This window comes from Homo sapiens, chromosome 13 (assembly GCF_000001405.40).
Source record: "Homo sapiens chromosome 13, GRCh38.p14 Primary Assembly".
Lineage (NCBI taxonomy): Eukaryota > Metazoa > Chordata > Mammalia > Primates > Hominidae > Homo > Homo sapiens.
Window position 1 is genome coordinate 27,498,351 of NC_000013.11, and position 20,124 is coordinate 27,518,474.

Below are 20,124 nucleotides of genomic sequence, written 5' to 3' on the forward strand. Positions count from 1 at the left end.
CAATTTTCTGTTCTGCTTTTTTCACTTAATATCACTTTTTTTTTTAACGGAATCTCAGTCTGTCGCCCAGGTTGGAGTGCAGTGGTACAATCTCGGCCTACTGTAACCTCCACCTCCTGGGTTCAAGTGATTCTCCTGCCTCAGCCTCCTGAGTAGCTGGGATTACAGGCGTGCACCACCACACCCAGCTAATTCTTTTTCGTATTTTTAGTAGAGATGGGGTTTCACCATGTTGGCCAGGCTGGTCTCGAACTCCTGACCTCTGGTGATCCGCCCGTCTCAGCCTCCCAAAGTGCTGGGATTACAGGCGTGAGGCACTGTGCCCGGCCCACATGTATTTTAAACTATTGATAATTGCAACTCAGAATTCATGTTAAATTATTCTTTAATGTAAAAGAGGGTGATGTAAGAGGCTTCCTTTAAGCACCAAAGACCCACTAAGGTTAACAGATGTGCACAAGGCTGTGCCTGTGTTTTCTGGGCCGGGTCTGTGTCACAATTCCTCCCTCAACATCAGGCTCTGCTCCCCTGATGCCTCGTTCCTGGAACAATTTAAGATGCTTTCAATTGAAAGTCTTGGAAATCTGTCTAAGCCTTTTATGTCTATTGGGTCCCTCTTGTTTTCTGCTGGATGAAAAGGCCATGCAGGAGCCACATTGATGGTGGAGAAGAGAAAATAAATGTGTAAGGGGACACGCTACATAGACACTGGCCTGGGTCTCATTCCAAATGTATTTCCTAACTCATCCGTGCCCAGCAGCTGAGCTATCAGAAGATTCTGGTGGTGGCTAGATGTTTAGGCCTTTCCTAGACTGGAAATATTTCTTGCTGAAATAGCAGCTGCATATGCCTCCCCCAGAGAAGGAAAAGACGACCAGCAAGAAAAGTCATCAGAAAGTTGATTTAATTCCTGCATCCAAAGGTTATTCTGACGCTGCTGTTTCTCTTTCTAAATCCTACAAAGGTAAGGCAGGAGCAAATTTTACCATAATAGAAAAAAAAAAAAAAACACCCAACCCTTGGGCCTGTGTTTTCAGTAATTAGCTCAATGTGCTAATGAGAGTCTTCAGGGAGAACGGCATTAATTAATGGGTGAATTTCACTTTAATAAATGTATAGGCAATTTTCTAAATGCAGATGGCAGAGTCCGCCCTGATGGCTCTACCTAGAGCCACTCAACATGGTAAGTGTCGGAGGAAAGTGGTTAATTTGTAAAATGTTTCATGATCCTGATTAGAAGAGAAATAATGCTTGTGTTTGCTTTCCAATGTATTATTCATCTCTTCACAGCCCAAGAACTCCACATCCTTCCCCACCTCCCAGTGTCCTGAGGCTCTTTGTCACTCCTCTTTGTTGCTTCCGAAATGAGAAGACCTCTCCCTCTGGAGGACGGGGACCTCCCGCCTCGCCTCGAGTGGGCTCTCTCTCTCCACCAGTTTCTAATCCCAGGGAAGGTGAATGCCTTCCACTCTCTCTCTGAGTAGACAGAAAGGGGCAGAATGTTGCCCAAGCAAGATCAATGACACCGTCTAAAAGAAAGTGCCTTCTAGGCTAGGAAATGCAATGCACCAAAGTCATCATTTCTTTAAGAAATAATTTGCTGGTAGTTGGTTACAGACTTTAAACAACACCAGTCATGATAGGGAGCTAAGAGAAGTTCTGTTTTTTTAACCAACCCTCTGGGTTCAGTGTTATCTTCCTCCTTCACAGTCAGGCAAACAAAGGACAGGGTGAGAACCTAGGCTTCAATTTGAAAACACATTTCCAGGCTTTCCAGATGGGCTCATCTCGATGTTTTGAGAATTAAATGGAAAAGTACACCACAATTGTTGCTATTGCTTAGAGAAAAAGAGATGAAGGACAAGATCACCCATTTGTACCTGGTGCAAAGAGATTTATTGAGCATTTGCTTGTGCGAACCTATTGAGGGGGGAGTCACATGACAATAAAATCAAACTGCTCTGGATCAATAAACTTTATTTATTTTATTTATTTTTATTTTTTATTTTTTGAGACGGAGTCTAGCCCTGTCGCCCAGGCTGGAGTGCAATGGCACAATCTCAACTCACTGCAACCTCTGCCTCCTGGGTTCAAGCGATTCTCTTGCCTCAGCCTCCTGAGTAGCTGGGATTACAGGCATGCACCACCATGCCCAGCTAATTTTTGTATTTTTAGTAGAGATGGGGTTTCACTGTGTTGGCCAGGCTGGTCTCAAACTCCTGACCTCATGATTCACCAGCCTCGGCCTCCCAAAGTGCTGGAATTACAAGCATGAGCCACCACGCCTGGCCGTGGATCAATAAACTTTAGCAATTACAACAAGTCCAGATTCATTACAACCATTATCTTGACAATAAAATCTCAATCTAACAAATCTGTCAGCTGGACTCAAAATAATTGAAAAATCCAGTTAAATAGAAATGCCCTGGCCTGTCACTCAATGTTTTAATAATCAAAATGGAAAAGCGCTTCACAATTGTTGCTGTTGCTTAAGGGACACAGAGACGAAGGTCAAGATGACCTGTTTGTGCCTGGTGCAAACTCCCTCCTCATTGGGTGTCGGCCACACTCACCAGAGATCTGTCACCATCACGTACCTTATAAATCTGCGTTGATATCAGAATATGACTCTGAGGAACTGCACAATTCTCAAAGCAGATCCCGCCCACCTCGTCTTCGTATGACGTCTTTTCGGGGGAGGCAAATCATCACATTCCAGGGACACTTTTTTATACATAAGGTGGAATTTCCCCCCTCAACCCACAATGACTCAAAAACCAAGTTAATCGGGTATGATATTCTGATAGATTCTAAATGCAGCACAAAAATCCAGTATAACCACAGAATTTATATAGTCCTGAAATCACAATTTTTTTTCTTTTTAAGAACCAGAATGGAATTTGGGATTATCAAGTATTCATCACCCAGATGAGAAAACCCAGGCATAGAGGAGTTGGGATATTGGCTCCAAGCCAGGTGGCTACAACAGAATGATGTCCAGACCCAGCTCCTAATCTGCAGGGGCCCCATGACCCAAGAGGGAAATTTGCCCACTTGCTTTTTTCTTGCCAGTCTGCTGGTGTGCACACTTCTGGGACCCGGGCATGAATGCTGTGGCCCATCGCCCTAGGCTTGGCTGGATTCTAGTCTTTGGAGTCAACAGGCTGCTAAATTCAGACAAGTGGAGCAAATCTAGCAAAATGGAGAACCAGTATTGCCACGTCAGGACGCAGCGCAGCTTCACCAGATGCAATCCCTGTGTCTGCTGGGGACTCCTTCCTAATTCACCAGTCCTGGGAAGGCAGGAAACAGTGAGCCATGCTTCGTTTCATAATCAAGCTGAGAAGAAAAATGTGTGCTGGTCTCCACTCCATGACATTGATTATTGGGAGTTGGATAATTTTTGAAAAAGTGTTCAGAAAATTCTTGGCCAGGTGCGGTGGCTCACGCCTGTAATCCCAACATTTTGCGAGACTGAGGCGGGCAGATCACCTGAGGTCAGGGGTTTGAGAGGAGCCCGGCCAACATGGTGAAACCTCGTCTCTACTAAAAAAATACAAAAATTAGCCGGGCATGATGAGGGGTGCCTATAATCCCAGCTACTTGGGAGGCTGAGGCAGGGGAATCGCTTGAACCCAGGAGGCGGAGGTTGCAGTGAGCTGAGATTGCGCCATTGCACTCCAGCCTGGGTGACAAGAGTGAGACTTAGTCTCACAAAAAAAAAAAAAGAAGAAGAAAAAGAAAATTATTGCTACAAGTTAGAAGAAACAGTGTGTGAATGGCCAGGAACATGATGATGCTTTCTCACTCCAGCCAGACCAAGTTCAGGGGCACTGGCTGGAACCAGGAGTGGCCTCTGCTTTGCTGTTATGAGAAAGTAAGGACCATTGATGGTCAGTGTCCTGGGGTCTATTTTGAGAAGTCCCCGGGTCACATGAGCATTGAGAGGGAGACTATTTACTGGTCTACTCCTGGACCATGTTCAAAACTACCAGGAGAAATGCACAAGCCCTGCCCACAACACCGTTGGTGTGCCCAATTGGTGATTTTCACCCTTCAGCAATTCATCCATTTATTCCATAAGCCTTTAACTGACCACATTTTCTGTGCCAGGTACTTGGGCTGGGGATAAAATGATGAGGAAAGTGAATGCAATTTCTGTCCTTAAGGAGCATTCAATCCAGCAGTGGAGAGCAAGAAAAATAATCATCTCCACAGTGAATGGATTAGGTGACAAGTGTTCCCTTTGCCTTGCCTAGCCAATCTAGCCAATATGCCAACATGGGCACTAACAGGATAGGTCAGCTTAGCCAAGGCCAGGAGCAGAATCCATCTAGGCTGGAGGCTTAGACAGCGAGAGATTCAGAGGGTGACTTCCGGAATAAGGCTGCTCTGGTCACTGTTTTTTCCCTGTCACTCTCTAGTTTTGTGACCTTGGGCAGGTAACTGAGCATGTCCTGGTCTGTCTTTGCAGTTGTAGAAAGCGGGGTAGTGTCTCCTTTGTAGGGCTGCTGTGAGCCTCCAATGAACTGGTGCTCTTGCACAGAGCCTGGTACATGGGGAGTGTTGGCTGTTAGCGCACCAAGAGTTCATGGCCAGAAATTCAGTTTGTTGAAAGCAAGATTAACAAGAACACTAATCTAAGCAGCACAGAGGGCCTGGGGAGTGTCACAGAAATATATTAATAGTAGCAGAGTTTGGCCAGGCATGATGGCTCACACCTGCAATCCCAGCACTTTGGGAAGACGAGGTGGGTGGATCACCTGAGGTCAGGAGTTCGAGACCAGCCTGGGCAACATGGTGAAACCCCGTCTCTACTAAAAATACAAAAATTAGCTGGGTGTGGTGGCACGTGCCTATAGTCCCAGCTACTTGGGAGGCTGAGGCAGGAGAATTGCTTGAACCCGGGAGGTGGAGGTTGCAGTAAGCTGAGATTGCGCCACTGCACTCCAGTCTGGGTGACACAGTGAGACTCTGTCTCAAAAAAAAAAAAAAAAAAGTAGCAGAGTTCAAAAATGAGGCTGGTGTCAGGCAGGAAGGTGACACCGGACTGACCAACAGGCAGTCTGCGAGTGTTGTCCTCAGAGCTGGAAGGCGACGTGGCCAACAGCCTGCTGTGAACAGATGTGGTCCTTGACCCCCAGGCTGACCCAAAGGCTCTGTTTTGCATTTCCTGAGTCATCAAGATAGGGGTTGCAGCAGAATGGGGAGGCCAGGAGTTTGAAGGGGAGACAGACTTATGTTTAATGCTGTTTTAAGTTTTAAAATCAGAAGGTTAAACTTAAACTTTCCCTCTTGCTCACCTTTAGGAAGAACAAGCTCAATCGAGGTCACATTCACCGTGGTGCACCTGTTTTTCAGCCCAACTATTCAGAGGAAGGCAGGACCAAATGTTGTTCTCTGTCTTGATTTTCACTGGAAGCATAAGAAGTGGGGATGCCTGTCCTGTGCGTGTGTGTAGGAGAGTTTAAGTTCATAGTAAAACTGCAATTGGAGCCCATTAGGGAGAGATTGGGCTGCTGACACACATGGGAAGCAGTGCATTAGCCTATTTCCTTCCCGTAAAGACCTGTAAAAGCCAGTGTGATTTTTGCAGAATGAGACTCTTGCAGCCAGTAATCGGTTCGGGCAGCACCAGAAGCCCTGAAATCAACCAGACCGGGTCAAAGAGGCTCTGTGCTGGCTGTGGAATGGGAACTAATTTATCTTAACAGTCACAATGGTCAGATGGGGTCATCATCACCTTACTGCTTCTTGAGAGTTCTGCTGTTGCCAGAATTCCTTACATCCTCTGGGTTTTTTGGCGATCTAATGTGTGTGCTTGAGTTTTGTATCCCTTGAGAATACAAATGGCATCTTGTCTCAGCTGGAGAAGGGGAGAGAGGGGAGGGACTGGCCAAGGGGCAGCTTGTGAGTGTTGTCCTCAGAGCTGGAAGGCGATGTGGCTTTGGGAGCACCGTGTGCCACACTGAGGGCCTCACGCATGCCCAGCCATTTATCAGCTGAGTGTACCCAGCTCCTGGCCACGTGGTGGCCTGATGTAGTTTACCACTTACTTTATGCAATGAGGATCTCAAAAGAGTGTAATCGTGTGACTATTTATTCCTTATAAATCACTCACTGGCTTGTCTGGGACAATTCTTTCCCATTGATATCTGAGTTAGAGAAAGCCGACTGCTGCTGTGAACAGTCTCTGAGTAATTTGATCCTAAAACCATAACCCAGAAGCAATCAAAGGCACAGCTCTGTTGGGGAGACAGGGCCTTCCCATGATGTGGCTTTGAACAACTCAGAAATCACTGACCTAAGTGATGGAAGAAGAATTTCCAGATTCAGACCCACAAGGAATCCTTAACACTTTTGGATGGCACCACTCCAAGCCCAGAGCCGCTGCCGCAGGAGTCACCCCCATCGTGGCATCCCCCGGGGGACCAGGGCACACAGTCCAGCACTGTCTAGTTTGTGATCATCCCTCTCATTCAAGGAGGTTCTATGCAGAGCTTTCCCCCGTGTGGTTTATGGTTTATTATCCTGTTTGGAGCTCCTTTAAATTAAAACAATCCATGCCAGTGTGGCGCTCTCATTGTTGCCCCTGGTCTGTTTACTCCCAGCTCTCTTCAGGGAGGAAAAGGCTGGAAACTGCGTCCTAATGGCCCAATTAGTCCTAATGCTGCGTAGTGTTGACTGTTTAGTCACTACCATATTGTGTACAGAACTAATTGTGGTGAAAGCAAATGAATGGTCAGGAAACAAACAGGCTACTAGAAAATAATTACTTGGAGTGTTTCTCTTTAGTACCTGTGCAGCGGATTTCATTATAGTCAACAGCCTCTAAGCTGCTCGAAATAGTGGTATTTGTCATTTTCATAGAAACTTGATAATGACATTAATTTATCTTAATGGCCTGTTCTATTGTTATAAATAGTAAAATTAGCTTAAATTGTCTTGCTTTTGCTGGTTTTGGATGGCTGCAAAGGGCCCCACAGCAGCCGACGAGTAGATAATTTGGTGTGCTTGACAAATTTCCAATAATTTGTTATGTGGAACATGAGTAATGCTAGTACCATTAATGTTCATTTTCCTCTAAATTCATTACTGCCCTTTTCCCTTTTATCTTTTTTAATGTCTGGGCCATTTTTCTATATTTCAAGTGGAGCCACAGAGCCTATTCATATTCAGCCGGCTATTAACATTCTGCACATAGCGAACATCCTGTAGAAAAACAACTCTTTATGAAATGATGAGCCTGGTTGCTCTATCTGAGAGAAAAGCAGGCAAAATGGGGCTTACTGGTATCAGGGCCTGGGTATAATTAAGTCAAATGTAATTTTAAAGAAATTTAAATGTTTTCATTTTATGGCAAAGGTAAAACACACTCCAGGGAGAATCGAAGAAGGTGTAAATGCACTAATAACATTCATTCCTCCCTTTCATATTCCTCCTATTTCAACTTCACATGGCATTTTATCAAAGGTTATTATTCAGCATTCTCTATAAATTTGATTCTAATTAATCCCTAAGAAATATGGTGACTAATTTCATTTCTGTAAGCAGATATGTTGACATCTGAACAAATGTGAGGACTCTTTTTTACTAGAAAAACCCCTAGAATTTAGTATGCTTACTTTCAGTTCCACATCTTTGTCTTTCATTCATTATGGGTTGGGAGAGGCCGCATCATCAGTTGATTCAGTCTTTCTGCAGTTTCTAAGCATCTCCTCTACTTTCTTTCGCGTTGTCATATGAAGGCCACCAAACAATAAAGAGGCTGACTAGAGCTTTATATCAATTAAATAATGTATGTAAAACATGTACATTACAAACATGAAAACAATGTGTGCAATATCTATCCTGTACAAAGGAAAGGACATTGAGACCCAAATCCAATTTATTTCTACAATTTGGGTAGAATGATGTTGAAAGCTCAGGGCTTATCTACATTAATTCTTAGACTGGTACAACCCACCCCACTTTCACTCCAGGTTAAAATGCCCATCTAGAGTATAAAGAAAACACAAGCATATCTGGGGAGAAATAGGCATCTTAAGAAAAAAGAAATGTTGGCTTTCTTAGGATGCCTTGCTTTCTGAAAAAGGAAGAGTCTCCTTTCTGGAATTGTGCAAAACTCTTCCCAGTATTGTCTGGTCCTATTGGGGAATGCCAAGGAGGAAAGATTAGCTATTTTTTTTCTATTTTTTTTTTCTATTTCTATTTCTTTTCTTTTCTTTTAAGAGATGAGGTCTCACTATGTTGCCCAGGCTGGTCTCAAACTCCTGGCCTCAAGTGATCCTCCTGCCTCAGCCTCCCAAAGTGCTGGGATTTCAGGTGTGAACCACTGCACCCCACTGCTGATATTTTTTAAGTAGACCTTAGACATTTCTGTCAACCTAAAAGTCCCTGGATGACGACTTTTACACTGAAACAGAAAATCATCATTTAAAGAACTTTTCTTTTCATGAGACAAAATTATTCCTCTTTTTCCACTAATACAAACAGATTTTAAAAGCAGCCTATTCAATAAAATCACCCAAATGTACTCCTGAGTGTGTACCCAGGCTCTTCAAACCTCAGGGAGGGATGAAGCATAATGTACTAATAATGTAATGTATCAGCGGGGCAATTCATAAAATATTTATCCTAAAACAGAAAATGTGTCTGTCTGCCTTGTTCATTTATAAAATAATAGTTTAGGGGAATTAGGTACCAGCTAGATCCCTTAGTCAATGTAGTTGGCTTCACCCAGAGTCCATTAGACTAGGTTATGTATCTGCTAAGGAAGACGCAGCCTGTCAGCGGTGCATAATGGATCATGAAAGATAAATGGAATTAGGCAATTGAATAATTAGAGTGGTGCCTCCCAGAGTGGCTCTAAGTAAAGGGTTGCAGGGATTTCCATTAGAAACCTCCATTTCCATGGTTAGAAATCCATCTGGAAAAATTTGGCTGGGGCTGAAAGTTAGTACCAGGTGGGGCACTGAAGGGAAAGAATCTCCCCAGAGGCGCTGTGGTCCTCAAAGGCCAAGGCTGAGTGATTTAGGAGTCATGATGCTGGAGAGACTCAAGCCCCACTCCCTTCCTCACCTAAGTCAGCCTCCCAGGCACCAAAGCACCAGATCTGATGGAAGCGAACATTTCCCAGCTTGGGGGAAGGGTGTTATGTCTGATCTGCTCCTCTGTCCTCAGGCTTGGAGCACACAGTGATGTCTTAGGGAAAGGCTGTGCTGTGAATGGTGTGCCCCGGGACAGTGCAGTCTACAATCTACACAACTGTGCGAAGCCTCCCTTCAAGGGCCACATCCCCAACACCTAGCAGAGTGCCTGGCACACAGAAGCTGCTCAACAATATCCGATTAATACACAAACAAATTACTGTGATCTTTACAGAATTCAATGAGAAGCAAGAGGAGACAAATTGCAAACGAAGGTATTCCTAGGCTTGGCAGGCAAAGTTAGAAGAAGAATAGCTGCAGCTCTGTGCAGATGCCTTATGAGAAGAGAATAAAATCTCTGGGCCAGTTCTGAAGACCCCAGAATCAATTTCTTCAGTCACCGGTGTTTACTGAGCAGCTACAATGTACCAGGCTGTTCTAAGTGCTGGCAACACAAAGATGAAAACACAAGGATCCTGCCTTGGGGAGCTTTGTGTGTATGGGAGAGACATCAAGCTGGAGTAAAGGATGGTGCCCAGGGCAGGGGAGCACTAGGAAAGAGCCTCTCAGTCTGCCTGGAGAGCCCTGAGGGCTCTAAGCACACTAGTGTGAAGTAAAACCCACACCAACATTCAATTGCCTATGTTCATTCAACAGGATCTAGCTCTATTCTGAAAACTACTGGTGGAGGGAAAGGTTTTTATTCAATATGTGACTACAAATATAGGGAAAAGCAAAGTCATCTGGCCCCTGGCTTGGCCTCTTATTAGGTGAGAAACCTTGGGCAAGCCACCGAACATCTTTAAGCTTCAGTTTCCTCAATGTTAAAATGTTAATAGGTTGATAATAGCCAACTCACAGGTTCTGGGGTTTAAGCGAGAGATCCTATGCCTGAGCATACTGTGAACTCTATGTGTGCACAGTTTAGTTATGGCCAACACTATTTAAGGGAAATTTGAGTAAGTCCATGTAGCTTTTTTTTACTTTTTTTTTTTCTGGGTGGGGGGACAGAGTCTTGCTCTGTCGCCCAGGCTAGAGTGCAGTGGCACGATCTCAGCTCACTACAACTTCCACCTCCCGTGTTCAAGTGATTCTCGTGTCTCAGCCTCCCAAGTAGCTGAGACTACAGGCGTGTGCCACCATGCCCGGCTAATTTTTGTATTTTTAGTAGAAATAGGGTTTCCATGTTGGCCAGGCTGGTCTAGAACCCCTGGCCTCAAGTGATCCGCCCGCCTCAGCCTCCCAAAGTGTCGGGATTATAGGCATGAGCCACTGTGCCCGGCCCATGTAGCTTTCATACATGAAATACATGACATGTTTTCATCCACCACACACATTTGCATTAGGTCATTGGGCCCTATTTTATAGAGGAGGAAAATGTGACTTGAGAAGGCTGGGTAATTTGCTCTAATTCAATTGATTCATAATATGGGCGGGACTCAATCTCAGGGCACGGCGCTGTTAGGCAGCAGGTTTTGCTTCGCCTGCACAGAGGGGAGGGCCTGGCACAGCAGGGCGCAAGCCGGGAACTCGTGCGTGGACACACAAGCCTGGTCCACAGTGGAGATGGGTTTCCACCTGCAAGCTCCTGCTGGTGGAGATGCACCAGGGACAGATGCTCCCAAGGAAGTGCTGTTAGGGGCTGGTGTGTGACCATCGTGGCTTCAGGGAGCCAGCCTTGGGAGGGCCAATGGCCTCATTACTGTCCACACAGTTGCTTTATTAACAACTTTGCCCAGAGTGGCCCATAAATGGTTCAGCACCTCTTGAGGTCTTGCTCAATACAAAGGTGTGCTTCCATCCTGTTTTCTTCTCCATCTTCCTGATCCTCATCCCTCCTCCTTCTGTCCCGAGCCCACCCTCACTGTGTGCTGGCCCCCGTCTGGCCTGCTGCTGCCACATTCTCACACTAACAACCCTTCCCACTTCTCTATCTCCAGCTGTCTCTTTCACCCAGCTCCTTCATGTCAGCTTAAAGATATTCTCCATCCTCCCAATCCTAAACATAAATTCCTTAAACAACAGTCTTCCAGCCATTCTTTGGGTCCCTCAGCTATCGTAAGAATCCAGGTTCTGTCCCCGGCCCTCTATCTCCATCCCCTTCATGCAGGCTCTGCTTTTGCTGTGGTGACTGATGACCTCCTGCCTGGACATCCAGTGTCTTCACCCAGCCTGTCGTCAGCATGTCCTCAAACAAGTGGTGGGTACTGGTTTTGTGCCTCCTTCTCAGGGCTCTCTTCTCCCTGCAACACCCTCTTATCTTTCCACTTGTCCATCTACACCATCATTGATTCCTCCTCCTGCTCCAGCCCTTGCAAACTTGGTTTTCCCTACTTCTTTGTCCCATAGCCTCAATGCTATGTTCATACATATCATATAGGTGATACTGTCCTCTTCACCTGTGATCCTGATACTGAAAACATCCAGGTCAATGAGCAGATCCCATTGCTCTCTGTCCCTTCCTGGCAGCATTTTTATCCTTCCCTTCTTCCCTCTTTGTCTCTCTCTTTCTTACAATATTTATTCAGTGCCTGCCATGTGTCTGCTTCTGTGCTTGGCCCTGGATACTGAGAAAGACTGATGGGGTCCACCCTAGCTCTGGGCCTGAGTGATCCTCGCAGTCTGCTGCCACCTGCCCCAGGACATCCCTCCCACAAGGAAACCACCCAGGTGTTCCATCCTGAAGCTTTAGAAACAGCTCACATTTCACCTCTCCCTCTCACTTCACATCCAATCCAACCCAAGCCCTCTCATCCTTGTCTCATAAACGTGCCTCATCCTGCAGCCACTGTCCTCTGCTTCCTGCTGTTGTTGCTGGTTATCTTCCCATAACTGGAACCCTGCTGGGGTTACCCAACTGCTCTCTGGCTCCTGTCCCACCCTCCATTCTGGTTTCCGCGCACCAACAGAATGGTCTTGCTAAAGTGCAAAATGCGCCATTTGTTCTTTCAACATCTGCTGTGCAGGGTGCTGGAGATGCAATGGTGGAGCAGCAGGTGACGCGCCTGCCCTCGGGAGCTTACAGCCCAGGCTGGGTGGAGATGGACACTGCAGTGTTGTGGGGGTCTCAAGGGAGATGTGCTGTAGGCTGGGACCCTTCGATGGCTCCTATCAGTTCAAGCTCAATCTCCTTAAATGATAACTCAGGCCCTTCCCATCTAGTGCCCACCTACATTGCTGGTGCCATCTCCCACATCCCCCCGGTGTCCTTCACACTCACCACACACCAGCTCGCCAGTCCTTGAAGACGCCCTGGGCTCTTTCAAGGCTCCACACTTAGGGGTGCTCTTATCTGCCAGGACGTTCTCTACTCTTTTTTCTTTCTGCTTAAAAATGTTAATTGTGATAAAACATACACAAATAAAATGTACCATCTTGACCATTTTTAAGTGTGCAGTTCAGGCCGAGCATGATGGCTCACGCCTGTAATCCCAGCACTTTGGGAGGCCAAGGTGGGAGGATCACTTGAGGTCAGGAGTTCGAGACTAGCCTGGCCAACATGGCGAAACCCCGTCTCTACTAAAAATACAAAAGTTAGTTGGGTGTGGTGGTGCATGCCTGTAATCCCAGCTACTGGGGAGGCTGAGGCTGAAGAATTGCTTCAACCCAGAAGGCGGAGGTTGCAGTGAGCTGAGATTGCTCTACTGCACTCCAGCCTCAGCAACAGAGCAAGACTCCATCTCAGAAAAAAAAAAAAAGATGCAGTTCAGCGGCATTAAGGACATTCCCATTGCTGTGCAACCATCATTACCATCCATCTCCAGAATTCTTTCATCCTGCAAAACTGAAACTTTGTACCTGTTAAACACTAACTCCCACTCCCTTTCCCCTCAGCCCTTTGCAACCTCTGCTCTGTTTTCTTTAAAAAAAAATTATTTTTAATTATTTGGGGTACATAATAGGTATATATATTTATGGGTACATGCAATGTTTTGATACAGACATATGATGTGTAATGATCAAATCTGGGTAATTGGGGATATTCATCACCTCAAGCACTTATCATTTCTTTGTGTTAGGAATCTTCCAATTCTACCCTTTTAGTTATTTAAAAATATACAATAGATTACTGTTGGCTATAGTCACCCTGTTGTGTATCAAACACTAGATCCTATTCATTCTATCTAATTGTATTTGTGTACCCATTAACCATCCCTACTTTATCTCCCTCTACTTCTGTCTCTGGATTTGACCACCCTAAACACCTCATGTAAGTGGAATCATACAGTTTTTGTCCTTTTGTGACCGGCTTATTTCACTTAGCATAATGTCCTCAAAGTTCATCACATTGTATCATGTGTCAGAATTTCCTTTCTTTTCAGGGCTGAATAATATTTCATTATATCTGTATCTAGCTCACATTTTGTTTATCTATTCATCCAGCAATGGACACTTGGATTGCTTCCATCTCTTGGCTATTGCGAAAAATTCTGCAGTGAACATAGGTGTCCACATAGTTCTTTGAGTCTCTACTTTCATCTCTTTGAGATATATACCCAGAAGTGGAATTGCTAGATCATATGCTAGTGCTTTTTTTTTTTTTTTTTTGAGACGGAGTCTCGCTCTGTCTCCCAGGCTGGAGTGCAGTGGCACAATCTCAGCTCACTGCAAGCTCCTCCTCCCGTGTTCACGCCATTCTCTTGCCTCAGCCTCCCAAGTAGCTGGGACTACAAGCACCCGCCACCACGCCTGGCTAATTTTTTGTATTTTTAGTAGAGATGGGGTTTCACTGTGTTAGCCAGGATGGTCTCGATCTCCTGACCTCGTGATCCGCCCACCTCGGCCTCCCAAAGTGCTGGGATTACAGGCGTGAGCCACTGCGCCCAGCCGGTAGTGCTATTTTTTGAGGGACTGTCATACTGTTTTCCATAGTGGCTGCACCATTTACATCCCCACCAACAGTGCACAGGGTTCCCATTGCTCTATCATTCCCAACACTTATTATTTTACATTCTTTTTGATAGTAGCCTAATGGGTGCGTGGTGTATTTCACTGTGGTTCTACTCATCTTTGACCTCACTCAAACCTCTTCTCTCCTATTAAAATTCCCCTGATTTCCCCAAGCAGAGGTAGTGTCCCACAACCCCTGCCTCCCAGTCGATCACATTTCATGAGGTTCTATATGTATTTGCTGATCCGTATCCCCTCAGGATCTTGAGTTCCTAGAGGACGGTCTCATTTAGTCAGTGAGGTGTCCTCAGCATTCCAGGCACAAGAACTATTTTAGAAGTGTTTGTTGAATGAATAAAAAGTGTTGTATCACACGTATTTAACACATTTTTGTTTGTTGATTTGCTGGTTTTAATTTTTTATCAAACTATAGCTTACATATGTTAAAGTGCACATATTAAGTGTGCAGCTCCGTGATTTTTTTACATTTCCACTTGTGCAACCATCATCCAGAGCAAGATGTAGAACATTTCCAACACCCTAAAAAACTCCCCAGTCAAATACTTGCCCCACCACAAAAGTAACTCCTGTTTTGATTTTTAAAAACTCTCGATTGGTATGCCTGCATTTGAACATTCTACAAATGAAATCATGGAGAATGTACTCTTAAGTGTCTGCAAGATTCACCCGCATTGCTGTGTGTGTCAGTGACTCACTCCTTTCGATTGCTGAGCTCTGCTCCATTGTCTGAATGTACCACAGTTTACTTATTCACTCTCCTGTTGGTAGATATTTGGATTGTTTCTAGTTTCTTGGCTATGGTGAATAAAGATGCTCCAAATATCTTGTACATGTTATTTGAAAGATATATGCACTCATTTCTCTTATGTACATGACTTAGAGTGGATTTTGCACAGCTTTAGTAGGTAGTCCCAAACAGTTTCCAAGCAGGTGAGTAAATTTACAACCCACTCCCCAACAATGAGTTCTGGTTGCTCCTTATTCTCACCAACACTTGGGTATTGTCATTCTTTTAATTTCAGTCATTCTGGTGGTGGAGCATAGCCACCATGAAATTAACAAACCATGATCTTGTATCTAATTTCAAACTTCTTCTTGGTAGCAAAATTTTTATTTTTTACCAGCCTTTTAAAAATCACTTGTCACTCACATGCACACGTATGTTTATTGCGGCACTATTCACAATAGCAAAGACTTAGAACCAACCCAAATGTCCATCAATGATAGACTGGATTAAGAAAATGTAGCACATATACACCATGGAATACTATGCAGCCATAAAAAATGATGAGTTCATGTCCTTTGTAGGGACATGGATGAAGCTGGAAACCATCATTCTCAGCAAACTATTGCAAGGACAAAAAACCAAACACCACATGTTCTCACTCATAGGTGGGAATTGAACAATGAGAACACTTGGACACAGGAACAGGAACATCACACACTGGGGCCTGTTGTGGGTCGGGGGGCGGCGGGAGGGATAGCATTAGGGGATATACCTAATGTAAATGGCGAGTTAATGGGTGCAGCACACCAACACGGCACATGTATAAATATATAACAAACCTGCACATTGTGCACATGTACCCTAGAACTTAAAGTATAATAAAAATAAATAAATAAATAAAAATAAAAATCACTTGTCACTGATAATTTCTTTGTCTTTCTTTTTCTTTTTCTTTTTTTTTTTTTTTGTGAGACACGGTCTCACTCTGTTGTGAGGGCTGCAGTGCAGTGGTACAATCCTAACTCACCACAGCCTTGAACCCCTGGCCTCCAGGGATTCTCCTGCTTCAGCCTCTCATGTAGCTGGGACTATAGGCGTGTTCCACCATGCCTGGCTAATTTTTTATTTTTTGTAGAGATGGGGTCTCACTATGTTGCCTAGGCTGGTCTTGAACTCCTGGGCTCAAGTAATCCTCCTGCGTTGGCCTCCCAAAGTGCTAGGATTACAGGCCTGTAATTTTGTAATTGTGTAATTGACACACCTGGCAGATAATTTCTTCTATTTATTAAGTGCCAGTATATTTACCTCCTTCTACATTTGAGATATATATTAAATACACTTTTTATGTAAGTTTTTTTTTTTTTTTTTGAGGCAGCCTTGCTCTGTCACCCAGACTAGAGTGCAGTGGCACTCCACCTTCCAGGTTCAAGAAATTCTCCTGTCTCAGCCACCTGAGTAGCTGGGATTACAGGCATGCACCATCACACCCAACTAATTCTTGTATTTTTGGTAGAGACAGAGTTTCACCATGTTGACCAGGTTGGTCTCGAACTCCTGGCCTCCCAAAGTGCTGGGATTATAGGTGCTGGGATTAAAATAGGACCGCATGCGGCCTATTTTAGCATTTTTAGTAGGGTTGTTAAAGCCTGTTGAAACTGTTGGGCTGAAGTTCTCTCCCCACTTTAGCATGAGAGGAGTTACAGCATGGGGCTTGAGAGGCCTGGACTGAGAATGCTCTGGTGGAAATTCCAGCTCTGCCACAGAGCTGCTGTGTGACTTTGGGCAAGTTTATACAAGCTCTTGGTAACTCAGTTTCTTCATCCATAAAATAGAGATAATAATATAATATGCCTTATGAAGTTGTCATTAGTATTAAATTAATTATTGCACTTGAACTCCTGGTGCAGAGTTAATTCTCATTAAATATTAGCTGTTATTGTCACCCAGTTCCCCATGACACTATTAAAATCACTTCCTTTCCCATTATTTTCTTATTCCCAGTTAGTCTTAATAATAGCTCCCAAAAAGGTTAGGCATATATAAGGAATCTGTGCTTTATTTTAATCATTATTTTTCCTCTTCTTATGCTGATATCATCTAGTTTTGTTGATTGTCATTTAACAATATATTTTATAGTTATCTGAGAAGTTTAATTATCCTGGTTCTGCTGTTATTTTCCTTCCCAAATGCAATACTCTTAACTATTTATTCTTCCAGATGGATTTTGATGTGATTTCTGTGGGAATTTTAATTGCTAAAGGAGCTCTTCCGTCTTTAGCATTTTAAATTGTCCTAGACTGAAACAGAGCCCAACACCCAATTCTTCAATACTTTATTTATTTCTCCCTCCAGAATTTTGTAATTTTTTTCCATACCAGGTTAATTTCCAAGTATATTCTTTAAAACTTTTGTGAACTGGATTTCCTCCTTCACTGTTCTTAGTTTATCCCTTATATTAGAAAGTGATTGTATTTGTGGATTTCTCTTACAGCGTGTCAGTTTGGGGAACCCATTGATAGTCTCTAATAGTATTTTTCTGCTTGGTGAGAGAGCAAACAACAGTGGGAAGGACATGGGCTTTGGGGCAGATGGGCCAGGCTGAACCACACCTCCTTTCATGACTTGCATGTAAGACTTCGGGCAAGTTTCCATCTTCCCTGAGACTCAGGGTCCTTATTGGTAAGGGGGGCACGCAACTACAGCTAGGGAGGGCTTGTGCTGCAACTCTAGAGCTTCTTTTTTAAATATCATACAACCTGCTGGGTATATACCCAAAAGAACTGAAAGCAGGATCTCAAAATGGTATTTGAACATCCACATTCATAGCAGCATTATTCACAATAGCCAAGAAGGGAAGGTAACCCAAGTGTCCATTGATGGGTGAATGGATAAAAAAAAAATAATATATACATACAATGGAATACGATTCGGCCTTAAAGAGGAATGAAGCTCTGACACATGCTATAACATGAATGAACCTTGAGGACATTAAGCTAAGTGAAATAAACCAGTCACAAAGAGCAAATATTATAAAACTTAATATGACGTGCCAAGAGTAGCCAAATAGAGACAGAAAGTAGAATGGTGGTTGCCAGTGGCTGGGATCTGGAGAAAAAGAGAGTTATTGTTTAATGAGAACAGACTTTCAGTTGTGCAAGATGGAAGAGTTCTGGAGATGGATGGTGGTGATGGTTGCACAATCATGTGACTATACTTAATGCCAATGAACCATCCACTTCAAGATGATCAAGAAGGTATATTTTATGTTACCATGCATACCATGTGTATTTTACCACAATTACAAAGAATAATAACTTTTAAAAATTATATAAGCTGGAGTTGCCATTCTGGAAACAGATCCTGAGCAGATGGAAGTTATCAGTGCAGCAAAACTTTCATATCTCCTGATATGTGATAAAGGGAGTCACATTTGCTCCTTTCTTAAGCTAGTAAGTTGAAGGGAAGAGTATTCCTTCCACATGCTACACTGGTGGGTAAGTGGGGGATTCCAGGTGAGAGTAAGGGGAGCACAAAGAAGCACATGTAGAATAATCTTGTTTATAACATTAATAACATTAAATTAGCATGTAGTATTTATTGAGTCTTTGTGCTAAACATTTTAAATCATTAATCATTCCTTTATTAAGTATCCATAGCAACCCATGAGGTAAGAATTATTCCAATTTTCCCAGCAGGAAAACTGAGGTTTAGGGAGGTGTGTGTTTGTGTGTGTGTATGTGTGTGTATGTGTGTGTCTGAGAGAGAGAGAGGTAGCAGTCTATTTTGCTGTTCCTGCAACTGTTCTTTTTCACTCCGCAGAGGATATGGGGTTGGTATTTCTGAGTGAATTCTTACAGTTTTCCAATCAAAGAGGCACGAATAGGTTATTCCCTCCCCAATCCAGTTTGACAGATCGTGGAAGAAGGCTGATGGGCCAGCTTGTTATATGTACTTTCCTGAAGCAATCACTATGGCCAGGGGACATGTAATACTGTAATTTTCCCAGAGAAAGACAGGAGCCTTTAAATACCCTTGTCTTGTGCCTAATTTTAAGGGAGATGCATCTGACCTATTACCATTAAAATGATGGATTTTTAAAAAATCTAAAATGTTTTATTCAACATTGTATTCAAGGTCTTAGAGTAGTAAGAGAAGAAATATAAATAAAAGATATGTATTTTGGAGAGGTGAGGTGGCTTGTGCCTATAACCCCAGCTACTCAGGTGGCTGAGACAGGAGGATCGCTTGAGCCTAGGGGTTTGAGGCTACAGTGAGTTATGATCATGCCACTGCACTCCAGCCTGGGAGACAGAGTAGACTGTCAAAAAAAAAAAAGGAAAGAAAAGAAAAGTAAAGGTTACTGGTGGAAAGTAATAAATAAATCTAAATTTTATGACACTTGATGTTATCATTTACACAGAAAACTCAAGGGATCTATGGAAATATTATTAAAAATAATAATTTTGTAAGGTGCCTATGTGTAAGATTAATATGTAAAAAGCAACTAAATCGCAAAGTAAAGAGATGAATAAAAACAAAACACAACATACCAATACTAAGGGGGTGTAGCCAAAGCAGTGCTAAGTAGAAAATTTATAGCTTTTAAAAACTTCTATTTAAAAAGGAGAAATATTTCAAATTAATGATGTAAACTTCCACCATAAGAAGAAACTATGAATAAAGAACAAACTAAACCTAAAGCAAGCAGAGGAAGAAAATAATGAAGTTTAAGGTGAAAATTAATAAAATAAACAAATAGTAGAGAAAATCAATGAAACCAAAAGTTGGTGTTCAGTAACAATCAACAAAATGGACAAACCTTTAGCTACACTGAGCAAGAAAAAAAGAAAGAAGACTCAAATTACTACATGGCCTAGTGAGATTTATTCCAGGAATACAAGGCTTTTTCAAGATACAAAACCAATCAATATAATACATCATGTTAACAAAATAAAGGACAGAAACCACAGGATAATCATTTCAATCAATGCAGAAAAAGTATTTGACAAAATCTATCACCTGTTCATGACTGAACAAACTCAGGCTAGAAGGAAACTTCATGAATCTGATAAGGGGCATCTATGAGAAGCTCACAGCCAACACCATATTTAATGGTGAAAGACTGAAGGCTTTCCTCTTAAGATCAGCAAAAACTTAAGATGTCTATTTTTGCCACTTTCATTCAACATTGTACTGAAAATTCTAGCCAGGACAATTGGAGGAAGAAACAAGAATTGGAAAAGGGAAAGATTGAAAATGAAGAAATAAACTATCTTTCTTTGCAGGTGACATAATCTTATGTATGGAAAATCTGAGGATCCTCATCCACACAAAACT

General features: G+C 43.2%; 2 annotated features.

Annotated features, from left to right (window-relative positions):
* Positions 8,923 to 9,092: an enhancer, noted in NCBI's record as "experimental_32806 CRE fragment used in MPRA reporter constructs". NCBI's record gives its function as "activates a minimal promoter by MPRAs in K562 erythroleukemia cells, with activity observed for both the introgressed and non-introgressed 13:28081495 variant alleles {active_cell/tissue: K562}" and the evidence as "EXISTENCE:reporter gene assay evidence [ECO:0000049][PMID:34662402]".
* Positions 9,983 to 10,152: an enhancer, noted in NCBI's record as "experimental_32807 CRE fragment used in MPRA reporter constructs". NCBI's record gives its function as "activates a minimal promoter by MPRAs in K562 erythroleukemia cells, with activity observed for the non-introgressed 13:28082555 variant allele {active_cell/tissue: K562}" and the evidence as "EXISTENCE:reporter gene assay evidence [ECO:0000049][PMID:34662402]".